The sequence below is a fragment of the Homo sapiens genome, chromosome 14 (genome assembly GCF_000001405.40).
Source record: "Homo sapiens chromosome 14, GRCh38.p14 Primary Assembly".
Lineage (NCBI taxonomy): Eukaryota > Metazoa > Chordata > Mammalia > Primates > Hominidae > Homo > Homo sapiens.
The window spans coordinates 28,881,977-28,901,289 of NC_000014.9; the positions used below are offsets into that span (position 1 = coordinate 28,881,977).

The 19,313-nt window shown below is 34.5% G+C and overlaps 1 long non-coding RNA gene across 7 annotated transcripts in view; it reads left to right on the plus strand.

Annotated features, from left to right (window-relative positions):
• LINC02327 (long intergenic non-protein coding RNA 2327) overlaps nucleotides 1-19,313 on the plus strand; it is a 138,162-nt gene that overhangs the window by 51,742 nt on the left and 67,107 nt on the right. The window lies entirely within an intron of this gene.

Here is a 19,313-nt window from a genome sequence, read left to right on the forward strand (position 1 = left end):
AATAGTCAAATACTGACAACCCCACGTTACAGCTTAGAATAAAAGAGAAACCTTGAGTTTATGGGCTTACTCAAGAAGTTGTCAAATTATTAAAAGAGGCAAAGATGAGTTTTAACCTTTTCTTTTTAAAATACTTCCCATATTTTTAATTTTTCTTTTTGCCAAGACATATAATACTTTATTATTTTTGTCACGTTAAAGTCAATTCTCCATTTTGAAAGGCCCCATAAAGCTACACCATCCATAGCATCTCCTGCAGTGACTTTTCAGTGAAAAAATCTCATCATACCCATATTGAAATGGAATTAAAGTACTAAATTACTTCATTTACAATGGAACTATTATATGGAAGTCATTAACATTTTAGTACAAGTTAGTTTCTAGTATTATCATCTTGATAATATTACCAAAGTTCTACTTGGAGTTGGACAGAGGGCTATGTCTGAATCCCCACTTGGCCATAGACTTCTGCACAAAATTCATATCATGAGGGATCTGGGGGAATCTTCCTGAGAAAGAAGAGAATGGCATCAATAATGGTGGTGTGCCATCTTCCTCAAATGGCTTACGAGTCTCTGACTTCTGTGAGGTGAGCAGAGATAAAGTGACACCCCTTCCTGGAAACAACTGAAGCCCTTCCTTGAGAATGCCAGAAGGTGAGCTTTGAGGAAAAGATGAAGTGTAAAATTAAATAAGCCCTTGCAACAATTTGAGTATTTGTGTATGTGTGACCATTCTTATGGTCACAGGCAGTTGAAAAGGTGTTGTTTAGAGTTTGACTGATTTTTCCATAAGCTGTAGTCGGACTGGGCTGATACTTAGATTGCTGGACCTCCATCAGCCAGAAGAGACTACTACTACATTGCCAAAAGTTGTGACTTTTAAAATTTCCCTGCTTAAGTTCCATATTTTCTCAGTGACAATGCATATTTTAAGCTGATTTTGTTTTTGTGTAAAGTTCTCAGTTGAACCAAGCTTTCTAAAAAAAAAATGTATGAAAAAAAGTGTTATTTTCCCGGAGTTTAGAGTAATTGCTCCTAGGGTGTCTCCAAGTTTTCATGGCTACACAGTGCTCCTCAGCCTCTTGGCAGGTTCTCTTAAGTACAGAAACTTCAACCCCTGTGGAAGGTTGCACAGAGCACTGGAACTAAGTGATGGGACAACGAATCGAAAATCCAGGCAAGGCATAGCACATTTGGAGTGATCCTGCCAGAGATGGCAGGAGGATAGGGAACATTGAGGGGAGAAAACTAGAGAGACAGGGTGTGTGATCCCTCTGGGCAAGACCACAGTAGTCACTATAAGCCTTTCTTCTTCCCTGAAGTCTTTCTATTCTATTCGGATTGGCTGCAGCATAAATAACAGAGTAACAATTTCACATTCACATACCGGTTCAGAGATGCTGAGTTTTTGACATCTAGCTCTGAAATTTACCTACCCACAACACTGGGCTTCTTCCTGAGATTCTTCTTTTTAAGTGTCTAGGGGTTGAAAATAAAATCTTTATTTTATTCTGCATGCTGGTAATTTGTGTCTTTCTTTTATTATTTTTTTAAATTTTAATTATACTTTAAGTTTTAGGGTACATGTGCACAATGGCCGGGCTGGTCTCAAACTCCTGACCTCATGATCTGCTCGCCCTGGCCTCCCAGGGTGCTGGGATTGCGGGCATGAGCCACTGCACCTGGCCAACTTACTCTCTATACATTGATTTACTTTTTTATTTTAAAATATCTTTGCATTCCCAGTAGAAACCCTAGTAGGTAAAAAAAAAATTATTGTTTGTAAACCCTACTTCTTTGATGTTATGCATCTACAGCTAAAGATTTCCCATTAAGCAAGGCAGGAGCTGTATTTCACATATTATAAAATGTTTTATTTTACTATCTTTCAGTTCAAAATACATATTAATTATTCCTGTAATTTTATCTTTAACATATGGCTTTTACATAATTTTAAATAATACTTTTTAAATTTTAAATTAAATTTTAAATACTTTTAAATAATAAAAGTATGCTAGTTAATTTAAAAAAAAGAAAAAATATTTGATAATTTCCATGTATTAATGATTTCAGTCTAATCTATTCTGCATTTAACCAACAATTGGTAGTTCCCAAGCTATTCCATAGTTTTAGCTTAAACACATAACACATGCTTAATAAACATTAGTTGAATGAATGAATGAATAAATGAATGAATGAATGACTAAAGACTTTCAGGACCTGGAAGGGAGGATGTAAAGAACCCAGGGCCAAGTATCATGCAAGCACCAGAGCATCTAGATCCCCTCCGGACACCAGCTTCCTTTCCCACAACCCAAATGTTCTTTTCCTTTTATGAATTTTCTTTAATCGTGACAAAATATATATAATATAAAATATTATTTTAACTGTAAAAAAAAAAAGAAAATAAAATCTTTTCTTACAGCCAGGGATTGTGGCATGGCCCCATTGTTCTAGCTGCTTGGGAGGATGAGGGGAGGATCTCCTGAGCCCAGGAGTTTGAGGCTGCAGTGAGCAATGATCATGCCACTGCACTCCAGCCCGAGTGACAGGGCAAGACCTCGTGTCTAATACACTAAAATAACTCAGAAAGAATAACACATAAAAATCACAGGAAATTATTTTAAAATATCATGTATAATTTTAATAATGGTATTTTCTTTTAACTTTCAAAACTGTTTTTGCTCCAAAGAACAAAAGCAAAAAGAATGTAACAATAATAGTAATAGTAATAATCATGTTAATGAAAAAAGCAAATGTCTGTTTAATACTATATTCTAGGTTCGCATTTGTTTTGCTATTTTAATTTATTTAATCTTCTCAACAGCCCTAAAAGATAGGTACTACTATTTTTATTATACAGATGGTAAAACTGAGGCACAGAAAAGTTATTGATTTGCTTGATTTTACACTTCTAAGAAGTTTAGAACCAGTAGTTTAACCCAGGATATCTTGCTTTCAAATAAAAACTCTTTGGCCGGGTGCAGTGGCTCACGCCTGTAATCCCAGCACTTCAGGAGGTTGAGGTGGGTGGATCACCTGAGGTCAGGAGTTCAAGACCAGCCTGGCCAACATGGTGAAACCCCGTCTCTACTAAAGATACAAAAAAATTAGCTGGGCATGGTGGCACATGCCTGTAATCCCAGCTACTCGGGAGGCTGAGGCAAGAGAATTGCATCTCTATTTGCAAATAAGGAGACTGAGGTGTAGAGAAACTTCCACAAAAAGTAGTAAGTAACTAGAAATGAGATTCCAACCAAAGTATACCTAAATCCACATCTTTCTCTTAAGGTTTATTTCGAAACCTAAGTTATTTTCTACTGTAGAAATCAAGAATTGTGAAAATAAAAATTTAAATCTTTCTACAATATTATTTGTGGGAAAGAAAATGGAATAAGTTATGTTATTCGTGGTTTTATGGAGGTTGCATAAATTCAGTCTTTGAAGAAGTTATTTGAGAATGTATGTGGTCTTTTTCAGCACTTCAACTCATAGTGCTCCATATCTACCTCGTATTAAGGGTGACAATTTATACATAACACATTTTTTAAAAAGCAATTTCTTTTACTATGGACTGATCTTGCTTTGGAGTCCAACTACTATTAATGAACAAAAGAAGTTTTAGTTTTTTAGCTATAGATAGTTCATCTCTTCCAGTGTAAAACAGTTGTGGTGAGTGTAAAGTATTTCCTATATTCTTTGGTACTTATTTCTTCAGAAGATGGAGCCTGATTCCCTTCCCTTGAGTGTAGGCTTACTTAGTGACTTGCTTCCAACAAAAGGAATGTGGTGAAACTGACAACGTGTAACTTCTGAAATTAAAACAGAAAAGCATTGTAGTTTCGTCTTTGTGCTTTCTCTGTATCATTCACTTTGAAGAAAGCCAAGTGCCATGTCGTGATCACACTCAAAAAGCCCTATAGAGATGCCCATGTGGCAAGGAACTGAGGCCTCTACCCAGTAACTAGTGAGGAAGTGAGGCCTCCTGCCAACAGCCATGTGAATGAGTTTGAAAGCAGATGTTGAAGCCTCAATTAAGCCTTCAGATGATAGAAGCCCTGGCTAAAATCTTACTTGCCCTTCCGTGTAAAACCCAGAGGCAGAACCACTAAGCTAAGCCATTCCTGAATTCCTGACCTATAGATATTTGAGAAAACAAATGTTGTTGTTATAAGCCACTGAGTTTGGAGGTAATTTGTTGCATAGGAATACGTAATTAATACAATCGTCTTTGTCAGCTAATATCCAGTCAATTCCAAATTCAAAATCCCTAACAGGGTTAGTTCTTCCAATATTCCTCGGAGGGTCTGTTTTTTCTCACCTCCTTTTCAAGTTGGTATATGGCTACAGAGGAAAGCTCATGATGGAGGTGTTTTGAACTGTCTTCTGGTCATTCTCCTTGGCATGAGAGGACCCTCATTCCACTTGGACTCTTTCTTTTTTCACTGAAGTCCACTGAGGGATTGCTCTCATTTGAACATCATCCTGGAATCTACACCTGTTGATTGTTAACTTGGCCATTGCTTCCGGTCATAAAATACTTGCAACCTATAGTCTTTGCTGTGGCCCCAGTTCTCCTTTTATTGACTTGTATTTCCAGCAGTTGTGCATGTGGAACTTTGCATGTCCTTCATAAGAGGTATGGGCCTCAAGGAATCTGATGCTCCACCACCAGCACAGATTATTATTAATTTGTTGCTCTTGAGGCACCATACTCTTCGATGCTATGTTTTATGTGGAGTTTCTCTAAGGTCTTTACAGTTTTTCTTGGCTACTTGAGGACCAAAGAACAAATCTGTTCACTGGGAATCTCTCAAAATTTTCCTTATTATAATCACAAAATATTGGAAGCAGCCTAAATATCCATATATAGAAAGTCATTAAATAAACTATGGCACACAATTGAGTGTCACGTATATTTTCAGAATATATTGTTATATGAGAAAAACAAAATCCAAAAACATCTATACTATGTGACTGTTCATCTAAGAAAGAAAGAGGTATAAGAAAATATGTATTGCTCATTTGTGGAAAAGAACTATAAGAAGGATAAAAGAGAAACCAATGAGATTAGTTACGTATCAGGGGTGGGTGGGAAAGAGGTGAACGTAAGGGGAAATGGAAACATGGTATAGGGTTGGAGGAGAAACAACACTTCGTGAATGTATGTCTCTATAGCTCCTATTTTAAAACCACGGTATTACTTCACATACTCCTCCCCCTTGTACTCTCCCCCAATTTAACATTACAGGGTTCATTGTAGTCTTTTCCCATTCTCATTTGTAACCTCATTCTCTGACAGTCAGAAACAGGGGTCTTGTTATTTACATTATATTTACTTACTTGTTCGAGTGATAGAGGAATCTCAAGAGCCCACAAGAACAAAATTTAAAGAGCTCACAATGGTAATAGCTGGACTAATTTGGAACAACTTAAATAATGCTAGATTTGGATTATGACTCATAGAATAAAATAAAGATCATGGTTTCATATGGATATAAATATATAAATGAAAAAGTAAGTTAGTGGGAGAGAAGACACAGGTCCCTTTTCTGGTAGAATATAAATTAATAATGTAGAAGGAATACCGAAAATAGAAAATAACTGTTAAGCAAATACCGCAGAAATACATGTCATATCTATCTGTCTGTATATATATTGTTCAAACCATCAGCAGATGCTAAAATTAATGAGTGATGACAAACAGGATATTTACACAGTTTCAAAGTATTTTCTCACAAGATATTTATTAATTATGAAGGGAAAATATTAGCATTACAATAGAGAAACCTGGTAGACAATGTTTAGTGATTAGCATTAACATTACTAGTAATGAGATATTATGCCATCATATGTTTCATGATATGATGTACTGAGAATGGCATTACATCACTTCAGTTTTATTTTTGCCAAAAAGGAATAACCACAATCTAATTATGAGAAAACACCAGATTGACACAAATCGAGAGATATTCTAAAAAATATCTTGTATGAACTCTTCAAAAGTGTCAGGAGCATGAAAGACAAAACAATATTAAGGAACTGTCACAGATCAAGGGCCCTAAAGAGACATGATAACTAAATGCAATATGAAATCTTGGATCAGATCTTAGATCATAAAAAAGGATGTTAGTGGAAAACTGGCAAAATTCTAATATGGTCTGTATATTAGTTGATGATATGGTATCATTGTTAATCTCCTAGTTTTATTTATTCAATTTTCAGAGAGGGTCTCACTCTATAGCCCAGGCTAGAGTGCAGTGGCACAATCATGGCTCACTGTAGCCTTGACCTTCCAGGTTTGAGTGATCCTCCCATCTTAGTCTCCTAAGTAGCTGGGACCACAGGCACATGCCCCCATGCCTGGCTAATTTTTGTATTTTTAGTAGAGACAGGGTTTCGCCATGTTGCCCAGGCTTGTCTCAAAATCCTGGACTTAAGTGATCTGCCCGCCTCAGCCTCCCAAAGTGCTAGGAGTATAGGTCTGAGCCACCACACCTAGCCTAATCTCCTGGTTTTAATAATTGCACTACAGTTATAAAAGATGTTAGCATTATGGGAAGCAGGTGAAGGAGGTACAAGAATTATCTGTTGTATTTTGCAACTCTTCTGTAAGTCGAAAATTGTTCTTAAAAATTTGAAAAAAAAACTTGGCAAAAGTGGAACTCTAATGAATTTGCCCCTTCTAAAATAACTCAAGTGTTCTAAGAATACAATTTCAATTTGTATCAAGGTTAGTTAGTTTCAGCGGTTTGAAAAGATATATTGTATCAATTGAAGTCATTAATGATTTCAAACTAGTGTTCTGAATGTAATCAAATAAATTACACACACATACACACACACACACACACACACACACACACACACACACACTGCATTATGTATCATTCCCAGCTCTCCATTCTTTGGAGAAGGGAGAATGTTAAGAAAGGACGCTGATGATTGACCTCATGCCAGTCCCTTAATTCTGTCTGTCCTTCGTAGCTTCTTCCCCTATGGGTGAAAGAGATTTCTATTTCCCCACCTGGAAGGAACTGATACTGTTCATTCCCTTCTCCCTCCTCAAGCAGCATAACCTCAACCTTTACTGGGAATAAAATAGCAGAAGTGTGGAAGGGCAAAAAATTCAGATGATTACTAACTCAAGATGCAGAGGCACTTAAAAATATTATTCCTGGAACACTTATAGACAGCTTAATATATTTTAATACCTGACTATCCTCTCAACTTTGTTCCCAGAAGTTTAACTTTTTTTCTGCTTACATTGAAGGCAAGTTTGATATCTTATACATCATTTGTATCCCCATAACATATTAACAAACACCAACTAGTCAATGCATATTATCTTGATGATTTGAAGTACATTCACCACAAATCATTGAGTATAGTATTAAAGAAATGTAGGGCAATAGCAAAGACATGGAATCAATCCAGGTGTGCATCAGTAGTGGAGTGAATTAAGAAATTGTGGTACATATACACCCTGGAATACTATGCAGTCAGAAAAAAGAATAAAATCACGTCCTTTGAAGCAACATGGATGCAGCTAGAGACCATTATCCTAAGCGAACTAATGCAAAAACAGAAAATCAAATACCGTCTCTTCTCACTTATAAGTGGGAGCTTAACATTGGGTACACATGGACGTAAAGATGGAAACAATAGAAACTGGGGAATACAAGACACGGGAGGGAATGATGTGGGGCAAGGGTTGAAAAACCACATATTGCGTATTATGCTCCCTACCTGGGTGATGGGTTCAATTGTACTCCAAACCTCAGCATCACACAATATACCTTTGAAAAAAATCTGCACATGTACCCTCTGAATCTAAAATAAAAGTTGGAAAAAGATGTGGAGGAGTGATCTATGAATAGCAAAGCCTATGATTCTCCTTCCTGCCAAAAGGGTTTGTCAATCATATGAAAAAGTTTGTCTATAGGTAACTTTAAGTTTGCCACTTTTCCTTTCAGTAGCAAAAATGTTTTCAGCTCTAGAAAATCATCACAAATACCATCTACTTAAAGCTCATACATATTATAAATAACTACAGGATCTGTGGGAGATGAAAACCTGTGTTGGAATTCGAGGGCATCTGATTGAAAATGCTATTCATGACCTAAACTTTCATGCTTCAAAAAATTCTTGAAGAAAACCCAATTTCCAGTGGTGCACGGTGGCTCATGCCTGTAATCCCAGCACTTTGGGAGACCAAAGTGGGCAGGTCACTTGAGACCAGAAATTCGCGAACAGCCTGGCCAACATGGTGAAACCCTGTCTCTACTAAAAATACAAAAATTAGCCAGGCATGGTGGAGCACACCTGTAATCCCAGCTACTTGGGAGGCTGAGGCAGGAGAATCGCTTGAACCCCAGAGGCAGAGGTTGCAGTGAGCTGAGATTGTGCCACTGTACTCCAGCCTGGGCGACAGAGTGCGACTCTGTCAAAAACAAAAACAAACAGACAAACAAAAAATTCACTATTTCTATCATGAAAATCCTATCTCCCTCACATGAAATGTGAGCAATTTAAAGACATTAAAAAAACATGTGGGATCAAAAGATGAGTAACAAATGGTGTAATATATGTGAAGATTTAATAGTAGAAAATAGCTCATACAATATTAGAGCTAGTTGAAAAATCAAAGCCTTAGAGTCAAAGGTATAGGCATTTTGGCTGGTATAGGAAAGTAAATTCTGAAAATGTTGTTTACCTAGAAAATATAATGATTTAATTTTCTAATTTTTATGTGCATTTAATTACATTTTTTAAGCTATGACTTCTGTTTATGTGCTGACATGCTACGAATGAACTTGTATTTTTTACAGGATTATGTTTCAATCTTATTGAAAATTCTATATTCATACTGAACAAAAATGGTAAACTGATTTAATTCATTAGAAAAAGGAGGACACTTCATCTTGAAGGTGTCAGCTGCTTTTACAAACAGCCTTGAGTAGTTGCTATTTTTAAATTTTCTTTTATTCACTATCTGTGGATGAGCAATTGCATTTTTTTCACTTTTCATTATTTTAGAGTTGCAGATTACTGTAAAAATACCACTTTTGGCCCATTTAATTTGGGATAAATAGTTGCAATTGGGATAGTTATTCTATTTTAAAAGGCAAAACAGTTGTTAATTTCTTGTAAAATTCTTTTGCCAAATTATGTGTGGTCATTCTAGAGAAAAGAAAAACAAAAAATCTTCTGTTGGCATTACTGGGTATTCCCCATGTACAGTAATAATAATGCCAAACCCAGAACCATTATTATCTGCTCCGTTAACTGAAAGACACAACCCCTCTATCTTTTATCTGGTAGCCAACTGAATGCTCACTGAATAGTATCTTCTTCTTAAGTATTGAAATATAAATTTTACTATTACTATGTTTATAAACTTCAACTTAGGAAAAGATGTGTTGTTACAGTTTTGAAATAACAATCTAAAGTGGAGTTATGATTAAACTGAAAGGGGACACGTTTGGGTGAACGCAGAGTTGGAAAAAAACAATGATTTGGCATATCGCTAGCATACACAACAAGTGTACCTGTGTGTCTCTTGATCAAATAATTTATACTAAAAATGGAAACAAATATTAAAAATATGGCTTATATAACATAATGGTAACAGCTAACATGTACTAAGATCTTACTCTGTGACAGCCTGTTAAGCCCTTTTCATACATTATCTTACCTATTTTTCATATAGGACTAACATAACATGAAGCTGCTTTCAAAGAGTTCTCTGGAACCCATTCGTTTCATAATTTTTCTAACTGTTAATATAAGTAGCCATATATTTATCTTTTCAATGTAATTCTTTTATATGATGGATGTTTTTAAAGTTATACACTCTTTATTGAGAATCAGATGCTGATATTCCATGAATCTGCTTAAGATTGAATTCATCCTTATATTCCTAAAATTTTTATTTGAAAAGCACATGAGTTTGCATGTTCAAGGTAAATAAGTCCCCAAAATAAACTTTACCTAGCATAGTAAAAAAATATATGAAAGCTTAATGGATAAAAAACAACATCGACACCTTCATTTGCAATAATTGCAAGAATAGTAGAAATGTGCTTTATATTCCAGAAACTCCTTTAACTTTTACAAGGTTTAGTCATCCTGCCTCAAACTTTAAGAGTTTATGTTTTTTCTTCTGTTAAAGTATGCCCCTGGTCCACAGACAAAATGGACTCCCTGTGGCTAACTGAGGTGCTCAAAGTTAAAACAGAACCATATGGCCATATCCGGGTAAGCCAGCAGTCACATAATCTGTGTGTTCAGGAAGATGTAAAAGTATCACAGAATCTCCCTTCTACAGTCAATCTAAACTAGTTTCTATTGGTGCTGCTGGAAACTCCTTCCCCTCATTTGAAAGATAAGTAGGACAGAGACTTCTGGTTTTGGGCCTGGAAACCAACCAACCAGGGTTCACCTGCTCCAGCTATTTGGGGCTCAGTTTTATCAACTAATCAGAGCTCAGCTGTACTGCCTAATCAGAAGTCAGCTGTGCCAACCAGTCAGAACTAAGCAAGCTTCAATCCTTCATGTGCATAAAGGGACCTGATTAGGAACCTGGGTGGGAGGTTTTGCTCTAACATCCTATGGCTCTCTTAGTTCTCTAAAATGCATTTTTGTTTTACATAGAAAGTTGTGTCTCCTGGTTTGCAAATTGTTCACTGGGAAAACTCTTTCCTCCAAATTCTTGTTCAGAGAACTTTTGGTCACACTTCGCTTACGATGTTTATATAAACTTTGTTTCATTGTTATTATGTATCTTATATACTTTATAAATGTATATGCAGTTGTAAGCAACAATTATTGGTTTTAACTTTAAAGCTTTCTTCTGAGGTAAGATACACAATTGTACAATTTATAATTTAAAATTAGTTTTGTGATATTATAAATGTCAAAACTTGTCTTTCAAATAAGATTATTTCCCTGTACTATCTCCTAAACTCAGTAAATTATTTCCTAGTTTCTAGATACCCAAAAGTGTACTGAGTTAAGTAGATTTCTGAGTTACTTTGATAAAGAATAGACTTAATAGGAGATAACGCAAATGATGTTATAAATTATAACCAGCTTGTGTGGAATACTTAATATGTGCCAGGCCCTGGTCAAAGCACTTAAGATTGATTATATTGGTTAAACTTAATCTTCTGTGGTAGTTAATGTCATCATCCCCATCTTGTAAATAAGGAAAAGTATTTAGAAAGGTCAAGTTATTTCCCAAGGTCACACATACCGAAAATATTAAAGCAGCCTTCAAAACTGGGTATTCTGGCTTTAGAGTACATGCTGAAATATTAACATGTGCTGAATATAGTCAAGATAAAAGTCTTCTAGGGCTCAGATAAGATATGCTAGTCAAGTTACTACCTATAGAAAGTCTTAGCTTGTGTTAACTGTGATGTGAGGGGCAACTTAAAGCTGTGGGTAGATTCTAACAGGGTTGAATATTTATTTCTAACGAGGTGTATTCATCTTTCCCTTCAGTAGACAATAGCATTGAAGCGGCTGTTCAAAATGACAGTTTCAGTGAAATGGGTCTTGGATAGGCTGGGAGGAGTGACTTAGCAAACTCCAGAGATGCAGGGTCATGTTTATTTAGTGTATAGGATAGTTCAGAAATCAAAATCTGCATTATTCCTCAGATTTGGGTCAGCCTGATTTTAGACTAGACCAATCAAACCAGTGGGGAATCTTTGGAGGACATTTTCAATAAATTAATTTTGGAGAAATTTCTTGAAAATAGTATAGTGTCTAGAGTTGTATTAAAAATGTATAACACCATGCTAGTAGTTGCCTCATGTAATTTTCCTGCTCAAATTGCCATATTTTGCTCTTCAAGGTTTCTTGCCTAATACCAGTTGATGTGCATCTGAATAATACAAACACTTCAAAATGTAATTTGTTTACATTAATATTTCATGCAATGCAGGTGTGTATAAAAAGTTACCAAAGAAAACTAAGTTAGCAATGTGTTTTAAGGATTAGGGATTCAAGAACATGGTAAATATCCATGGAAAGTTCCTAGTTATATGCACTTAAAAATTACAGTAGAGTCCTCCAGTAGGGTAGTCTAATCTCCAGGTATTGGCTTTGGGTTTAATTAGGATATAAATTCGAGTTTATTGCCTTGCAGCACAAATGTCTGGTCTACTTCCCTTTTGAGAGCAGGACTAGAAAGAGGCTTCTTATTTGCTTAAATTTAGAAGGTAGTAAATTTATTAGTAATGAAGCATGCACATATTAACAGTGAGAGGAGGGAAGTGGCAACCTACCTAAGGCCTATCTGAGAAAGAGATAATACAAACATGCTTCAAGGACTAAATGCTGAAGGGTCTGAAATACCTTAAAGCCTAGCGACAAAGGTAATGATACGTCTGGCTACTTCTTTGTGAAAATTGGGGCTTACCAATATCCACACTGTCCCCCAGTAAGTTTTTCTTTGTTTCTTTAGTAGGAATTCATTACCACTACCATTAAATGCATTCCTACTAAAAATTAGGGAGACAGACACATATTTTGAGATTGAGATTTTAAAGTGTTTGCATTTAATGACACTTAAAAGTTACAGTTTTATTTATTTTTAAACCTGTCAGTGTCGATTTATTTCTTTGTGTTTTAAAAATTCAGTTATGTTTTACAAACCTGCAATATTTTATACCAATTACTAATAAACATCTTAGAAAAGGCAACAGTAAATCAATATTTAATTATTTAAGTAGGACTGTTATTAATTTGATACTATATAAAGGCAGAAGGAAAGAAATGCCTAATATTACCTTCATTTTCTATATTTTCATTATAGATGTGAGTCAGTTTTATATTTTAATAAAGATATCTTGACATTTGTGACATGTAAGTTTATGATAGAATAGTTTTTCTTAATAGAAAATGTGTTTCTTCGTTAACAATTTTTGTCAAGAAGTGGCTGTTTGATTTTCTAAATCAGAATCTAGTGGTTTCTTCTGGAGTATTCTCTGTACATACACTGATAAAAAAAAGTTTGAAATTTAAAATCTAAATAAAAAATAGTTAATGCAGGATTGAAAATAGTTAATTTTAATCAATTCAGAGAGACTCAATTAGTCAACAGATGTCTGTGGTGCACACACTATGTTTCAGAAATGAAGTAATGTGTTAGAGACGTGTCCCTGCCTTCATGGAGCTGGCCTTGTAGAATATCTATTTGTCACAGGTATTTCTTCCAGTAGTAATAAAACAAGGATTTGTATGTCTTATAATATACAACTGTTCAATAAATGTCCTGCATTGCATAATGTAAAAGTAGTTGAGACATTTCAAATTACCCTTTTCTTAAGGCATATTGGTGCCATGGAAGATTGAAATTACCTAAGCCTATTACAGAACTTTTTACAATTTTGAGACAATGGCAGTATTAAAATGTACAAATAGCATTCTGTAAGGATTAAATGTGTGAACATAATTTACAGCCTTGGAAAATTCAATGTTTTCTTGATTTTCTGAAGTAGCATGGTGTACAATGATCCCAGGTGACATCAGTGTGCTCAGTGATAGATAAGAAGATGATAAGTGCGTACTAAGAGAAATTGTGGTGTATTTTGATGATGTGGTCAATTACTTGACCTTTATGAATATTCATGGAATAATTGGTTTTATTTAATAAGTCCATTTGTGAAAATTGCCACTGCTGCACATTGGTTCTTATCAGAAGAATTTTTTCTTTGAGAGATTACACGTTATGTATCAAACTACCAATTAATGTAATTTGTTTAGAGCTGTTTTTCTTTGTTTACCATCAAGGCATTCGCTATCAAAGGTGAGTGGTAAAGTATCAAGCCAAAAATTTGTTGTGTGGCTATCCCAACAACTTAAACAAAGGGAGTAAGAGAGAACATATGTGTTACATTTACCCAGATATTTCCTTTAACTGAAGCTTTTAAACTAAGATTGATAGAAAACAGTGTTTAGGAAGAAATAATGCATACTGATTTATATAAAATGCTATTCACTGTATTTTTCTTTTTGTATTAGCTTTAATGAATAGATATGCCTTTTTATTTTGTGGTACCCCACCATTAAATGATACCATCACTTTTTTTTTCTGCCTAAATAAATTCAAATTCTTGTCACCTGCTAGCTGTACAGGAAGATTTGAAACATTATTCCTGATTGAGATTTTTACTGAATATCTTTTAAAGATAAATTTGTTTTATTCTTTTACCCACTATTTAAAAGGGTTTTCACATTTTTATCTTCTAAAGGAATTGTCAATGAGAAACTAAAACTGCATAGACTATACATTAAAATCACTTTAGTTTTTAAGCTGTCATGAACTGTTTCAAAAAATGCTAAGTTGCTATTGTTTAATGTCTGTCATTTTATAATGCTTTAGAAGTTATCTATCCTGTAAAATTATTAACTGATGCTAAAATTGCCTTGTAAGTATTAGGACAATAGCAATTTTGTAACAGCTGGGGACACTGCCAATGTAAGATAAGTACATTTTGCTCTGTAGATTCATAAAGTGCTTTGAAATGGTTTGTAACTGATGGATGGATGCATTTTCTAAGTGTAGAAAGCAATATTTTGTAGAAGGAAATGGCTTGAAAGCTGACACACATGCATGCAAATGCCATTCTCTTCAGTAAGTAATTTGCTTTTTCTTTCAAAAGCATAAATGGCATAGTTAGACACATTATTTTGTATATTGCACATAACAATACAAGATGCACAAAAACAGCAAGTACAAAACATTTCATATTGATAGAAGAACCCATGGCTGTGGTATATGATTAGCATAAATGTATACACACTGAAGTAATGCCTTCAGGATTAAAAAGTGAAACTGAAAAAAAATGGGAAAGTTCTACTAAACTTCAGGAAATGACAACATATATTATGCTTTCTGTCTTTTAATTTAATTTTGCTTCTTGATTGGAATACTGTGAATCTCATTTTAATTGGATATATTTTCCTTAAAGCACTAAATATTAATTATGTTGCCAATGCAAGCTTACAAAGCAATCACGTTGTTGTGCGTACCTGCTTAGTATGGCTAACAGTTTTCTTTCTTTTTCTTTTTTTTTTTTTAAATAAAAGTCAACAGCATCTTTCCTACATAAAAAGTGCATAGGACTGGTTTGTATCCACTCAAAATTGTTCTGTAACCTAAATTGGATGTTTCAATTCTTTTAAAAAATATAGTTGCTGATGTATCTTCAGTATCTAGGAACAATTGGCTGAGGGTGTGACCAATAAATATTTGTATTATAAATTTCTCAAAGCATTTGCAAGAAAGACCAAGTTTGAATTGAATGTTTTTCAGAGACACTTTATTTTAAAACCACTCCTGGGCCAGGCGTGGTGGCTCACGCCTGTAACCCCAGCACTTTAGGAGGCTGAGGCGGGCAGATCACGAGGTCAGGAGGTTGAGACCAGCCTGGCCAATATGGTGAAACCCCATCTCTACTAAAAATACAAAATTAGCTGAGCATGGTGGTGAATGCCTGTAATCTCAGCTACTCGGGAGGCTGAGGCAGGAGAATTGCTTGAACCTGGGAGGCAGAGGTTGCAGTGAGCCAAGTTGTGCCACTGCACTCCAGCCTGGGCGACAGAGCGAGATTCTGTGTCAGAAAAACACAAAAATCAGCAACAAAAAACACTCTTAGCACCTCTGTACTTGTTGAAGAACACAGGCTTTAGACCCAGGTTGATCAGGTTTGAATCCTGATATAAACATGTCTTAGCTGTGTAAACTTAGGCCAGTCTTCAGTTCCTGTTTGCTGTATCAATATAGAGTTATCTCTATTATTGAAGATATCCTCAGATTCTTCTTGATTTTGACACTTTCTGTGTGAATCACTTAGACAAACTTCACTCAGTAATGGGAATTGAGTAGAAAGAGAAAATCATGCCTTCAAACTTAAGTAAAGCATATTAGAAGTAAAGTAAGTATACTTGTATGATTTTGAAATAGCTACATTATTTAATGCTTAAAAACTTTATGTTTTATTTTATTTGTACAATTTCTCATTTTACTTGGCTATACTTTTCACTGTTGGTGGGAGGGTCTGTGATTATACATATAGTTTTAGTTAAAGCTGTTCTACTTGGTGTTTATGATACCACTAGTGTTAATTAGAATAGTTTTCTTTCAAATCCCCTGTGAGAAATCCTCTGTGACAAAGGCATTTTTCTGACTAACTTCATAGCAAATGGGGATCATATAAATTTCATTACTATAAACCTAAAGCTCCTCATAAAGTATCAAAGGCATTAGTGACATATCTGATTACGGTCTTGGAGACGGGGCCACATCCTATTTTTTCTGTCATCGGTATGTATGGATTTACTCAGGAATAATGTGCTTTTCTGCTGCTCATCTTTTTTTCTCTTGAGGAAATTTCCCCAATAGTGAAAGATTACATTTCTCTCACAGTAGCTTTTTAGACTTTTCATCTCTAAAGCCTGCTACTTACAGGCCAAACTCCTTGGGTATTTATATACTGTAACCAACCATAGGCAGGCTTTTGGCACACTTATCCTATTATTGATACTTTTTATCCTCTATCATTTTCTGAACAAATCTACTAGAACAAGATAAATTTGTTCACACCTTTTTTTTTTAACTTTGAGTCCACAGACTGGAAGTGCCTTTGGAATAAACTGCAAGGACACGATATAAACCTTTAGCCCATGCTTATATACAACCTTTCACCATGGTGTGAGCGGGTGTTGGTAAGAAGCTTAATGGCAGATGTCGTAGTGGGATAAACTAATTTCACATTCTTCCATCCCTTCTCTTTAAGTCATGCCATACAAATTAATGTTTCTTTTGTATCAGTTGGATAAATAACTCTCTTCTATGAACAACAGGAAGATAAACATTTTTCTATATGCTGTCTATAAGATCTTAATTATAACATATTTGTAGAAGCCTTAACTTGCAAACTGCTCTGTATTTACTTCCAGAAATTAAAAAAAAAATTTTAGGAAATACAGTGCCACAAACAAAAATAACCTCCAACATTAAATAATTTGTAACCAACCTGGTAATTTTACTCAAAAATATATCTTGGAAATGTTTCTTATTAATGCACATGACATGGTTCTACTTCATTCTTTTTGACTGGTGCACGGGGTTTCATAATATGGATAGGTGATCATTTATTTGCCATACCCATGTTGATGAATAGTTAGGTTTTTTGCAATTTTGTGCTACAATGCTTGTATTCGTTCATTCTCATCCTGCTATGAAGAAATACCTGAGACAGAGAAATTTATTTAAAAAAAGAGGTTTAATTGACTCACTGTTCCACATGGCTGGGGAGGCCTCAGGAAACTTACAATCATGGTGGAAGGGGAAGTAAATATGTCCTTCACATGGTGGCAGGAGAGAGAAGTGACAAGTAAAAGGGGGAAAACCCCTTTATAAAACCATCAGATCTTATGAGAACTCGCTCACTATTACAGGAACAGCATGGAGGTAACCACCCCCATGATACAATTACCTCTCACCGGGTCCTTCCCATGACATGTGGGGATTATGGGAACTACAATTCAAGATGAGATTTTGGTGGGGACACAGCCGAACCATTTCAATGCTACAGTGAACATCCTCATATACATCCTCTTGTATATAAGTATGGTCTTTTCTTTAGGGAGAATAAAAAAGTTTGCTGGGTGATACAGAGTCTCCCAAATGGAACTTTCAATTTATGCTCTCACACTTAGTGTAATACTGTACTCATTTCCCCATCTTTTAGCCAAACTGAACGAAATCAATGTTTTAATTCCTGCCACCCTGATTTTAGGTTAAGAGAGGTCCTCTTTATGGTTTTATTTCATATTTTCCTGTTTACTGTGGGTTTGATCATCTTTCATATATTTATTTGTCATTTATGTTGACTCTTTTGCTAATTTCCTGTTCACAAAATTTGTATATGTTCTGTATTTATTATTATCTTTTTCCTTACTATTTATAGGGTGGCCTGTTAAAAATTTTTGAGTGCTGACATGATGCTGCAAGTGGAAGATTCCACACCTGACTTTATGTGACAGGTCACACTGAAAACTCAGTCAACACATTTTTCATACACAAAATTATTAAGAAGAATATTGTATAAATTTACCTTCATGCTAAGAATATGAGGTGTATATGAAACATAGATGAATTTTGTGTTCACCTTGAATTCCATTCCTAAAATATCTAATTATGCATATGTAAATATTCCAAAATCTGAAACAAATAAAAATCAGAACCACTTCTGGGCCCAAACATTTCAGATAAAGGATATTTAACCTGTATTCAATTGTAGATCTTTATTATTTGATGAAATGTCCTTTCAACTTTGGTAAAAATAGGTCCTATTAAATCATATAGACAGGATTTCATTTGCAAGATAGAATTGAATTCTATGCCTTTCAAAACTTATCTAAAGCGTATTTCCATGAAAAATATATTTGAACATTTAAATGTTTAATATTTACACCCTCCAACCATTTACAAATACTTTAAATTTTGTCTTTTAATTATGCCAGTCTTTTAGAGAGATTTCTGTGTGGATTGAAATCTTTTGGTCACAGTCATCTGAATTGAGCTCAATTATTTTTTAAAAGTCCTGCAAAAGGTCTTACTTTGATATTATAATTGTAACACCTGTAGAAAAGTTATAGTTATGTTTATTCTATCATAATTTTAAAGTTTATGATCACCAGCATGGGAACTGGTTCCCAAATCTTGCTACCAGAAATAAATATACATTTTCTAAATAATTGCTTGTTAAAAAGTATCCACTGTATAGTTTCTTTCTTTGCATTGGCTGTCACAAAGCTCAGACCAAAATTAATAGCACATCAGAAAATTGGTTCAAAGAAATGATTAACATCCCAAATGTATGTCAAGTTTCATAAACTTTATTTTTTGTACATTTATTTCCCCTATGATCTAATCTTTTTCTTTGCTTTTAAAATTATGTATAATATATAATTATATATATAGTTATATGTAATTATAAATTATATAAGGTTTTTACTAATTAATTTTACATATACATAGATATAATCTGCTTTTAAACAGATGTTATAGTGAAATTTTCTATTGTGCTAAAGATTTAAAGCTTTGAGCTCATGTCTAAATTTTATCTGAGATAAAGTATATAAAAATAGAAAATACCTTTAACTGCTAAATATAAAACCTATAAAACAAACGGTAGTTCGCTTGTTCATTTTCCTAGTATACTTATTTATAAAACATTAAGACTTCTCAAGTGTAGTAGTGAGAAGAAAGAAAGAGTAGAACAAAGAATT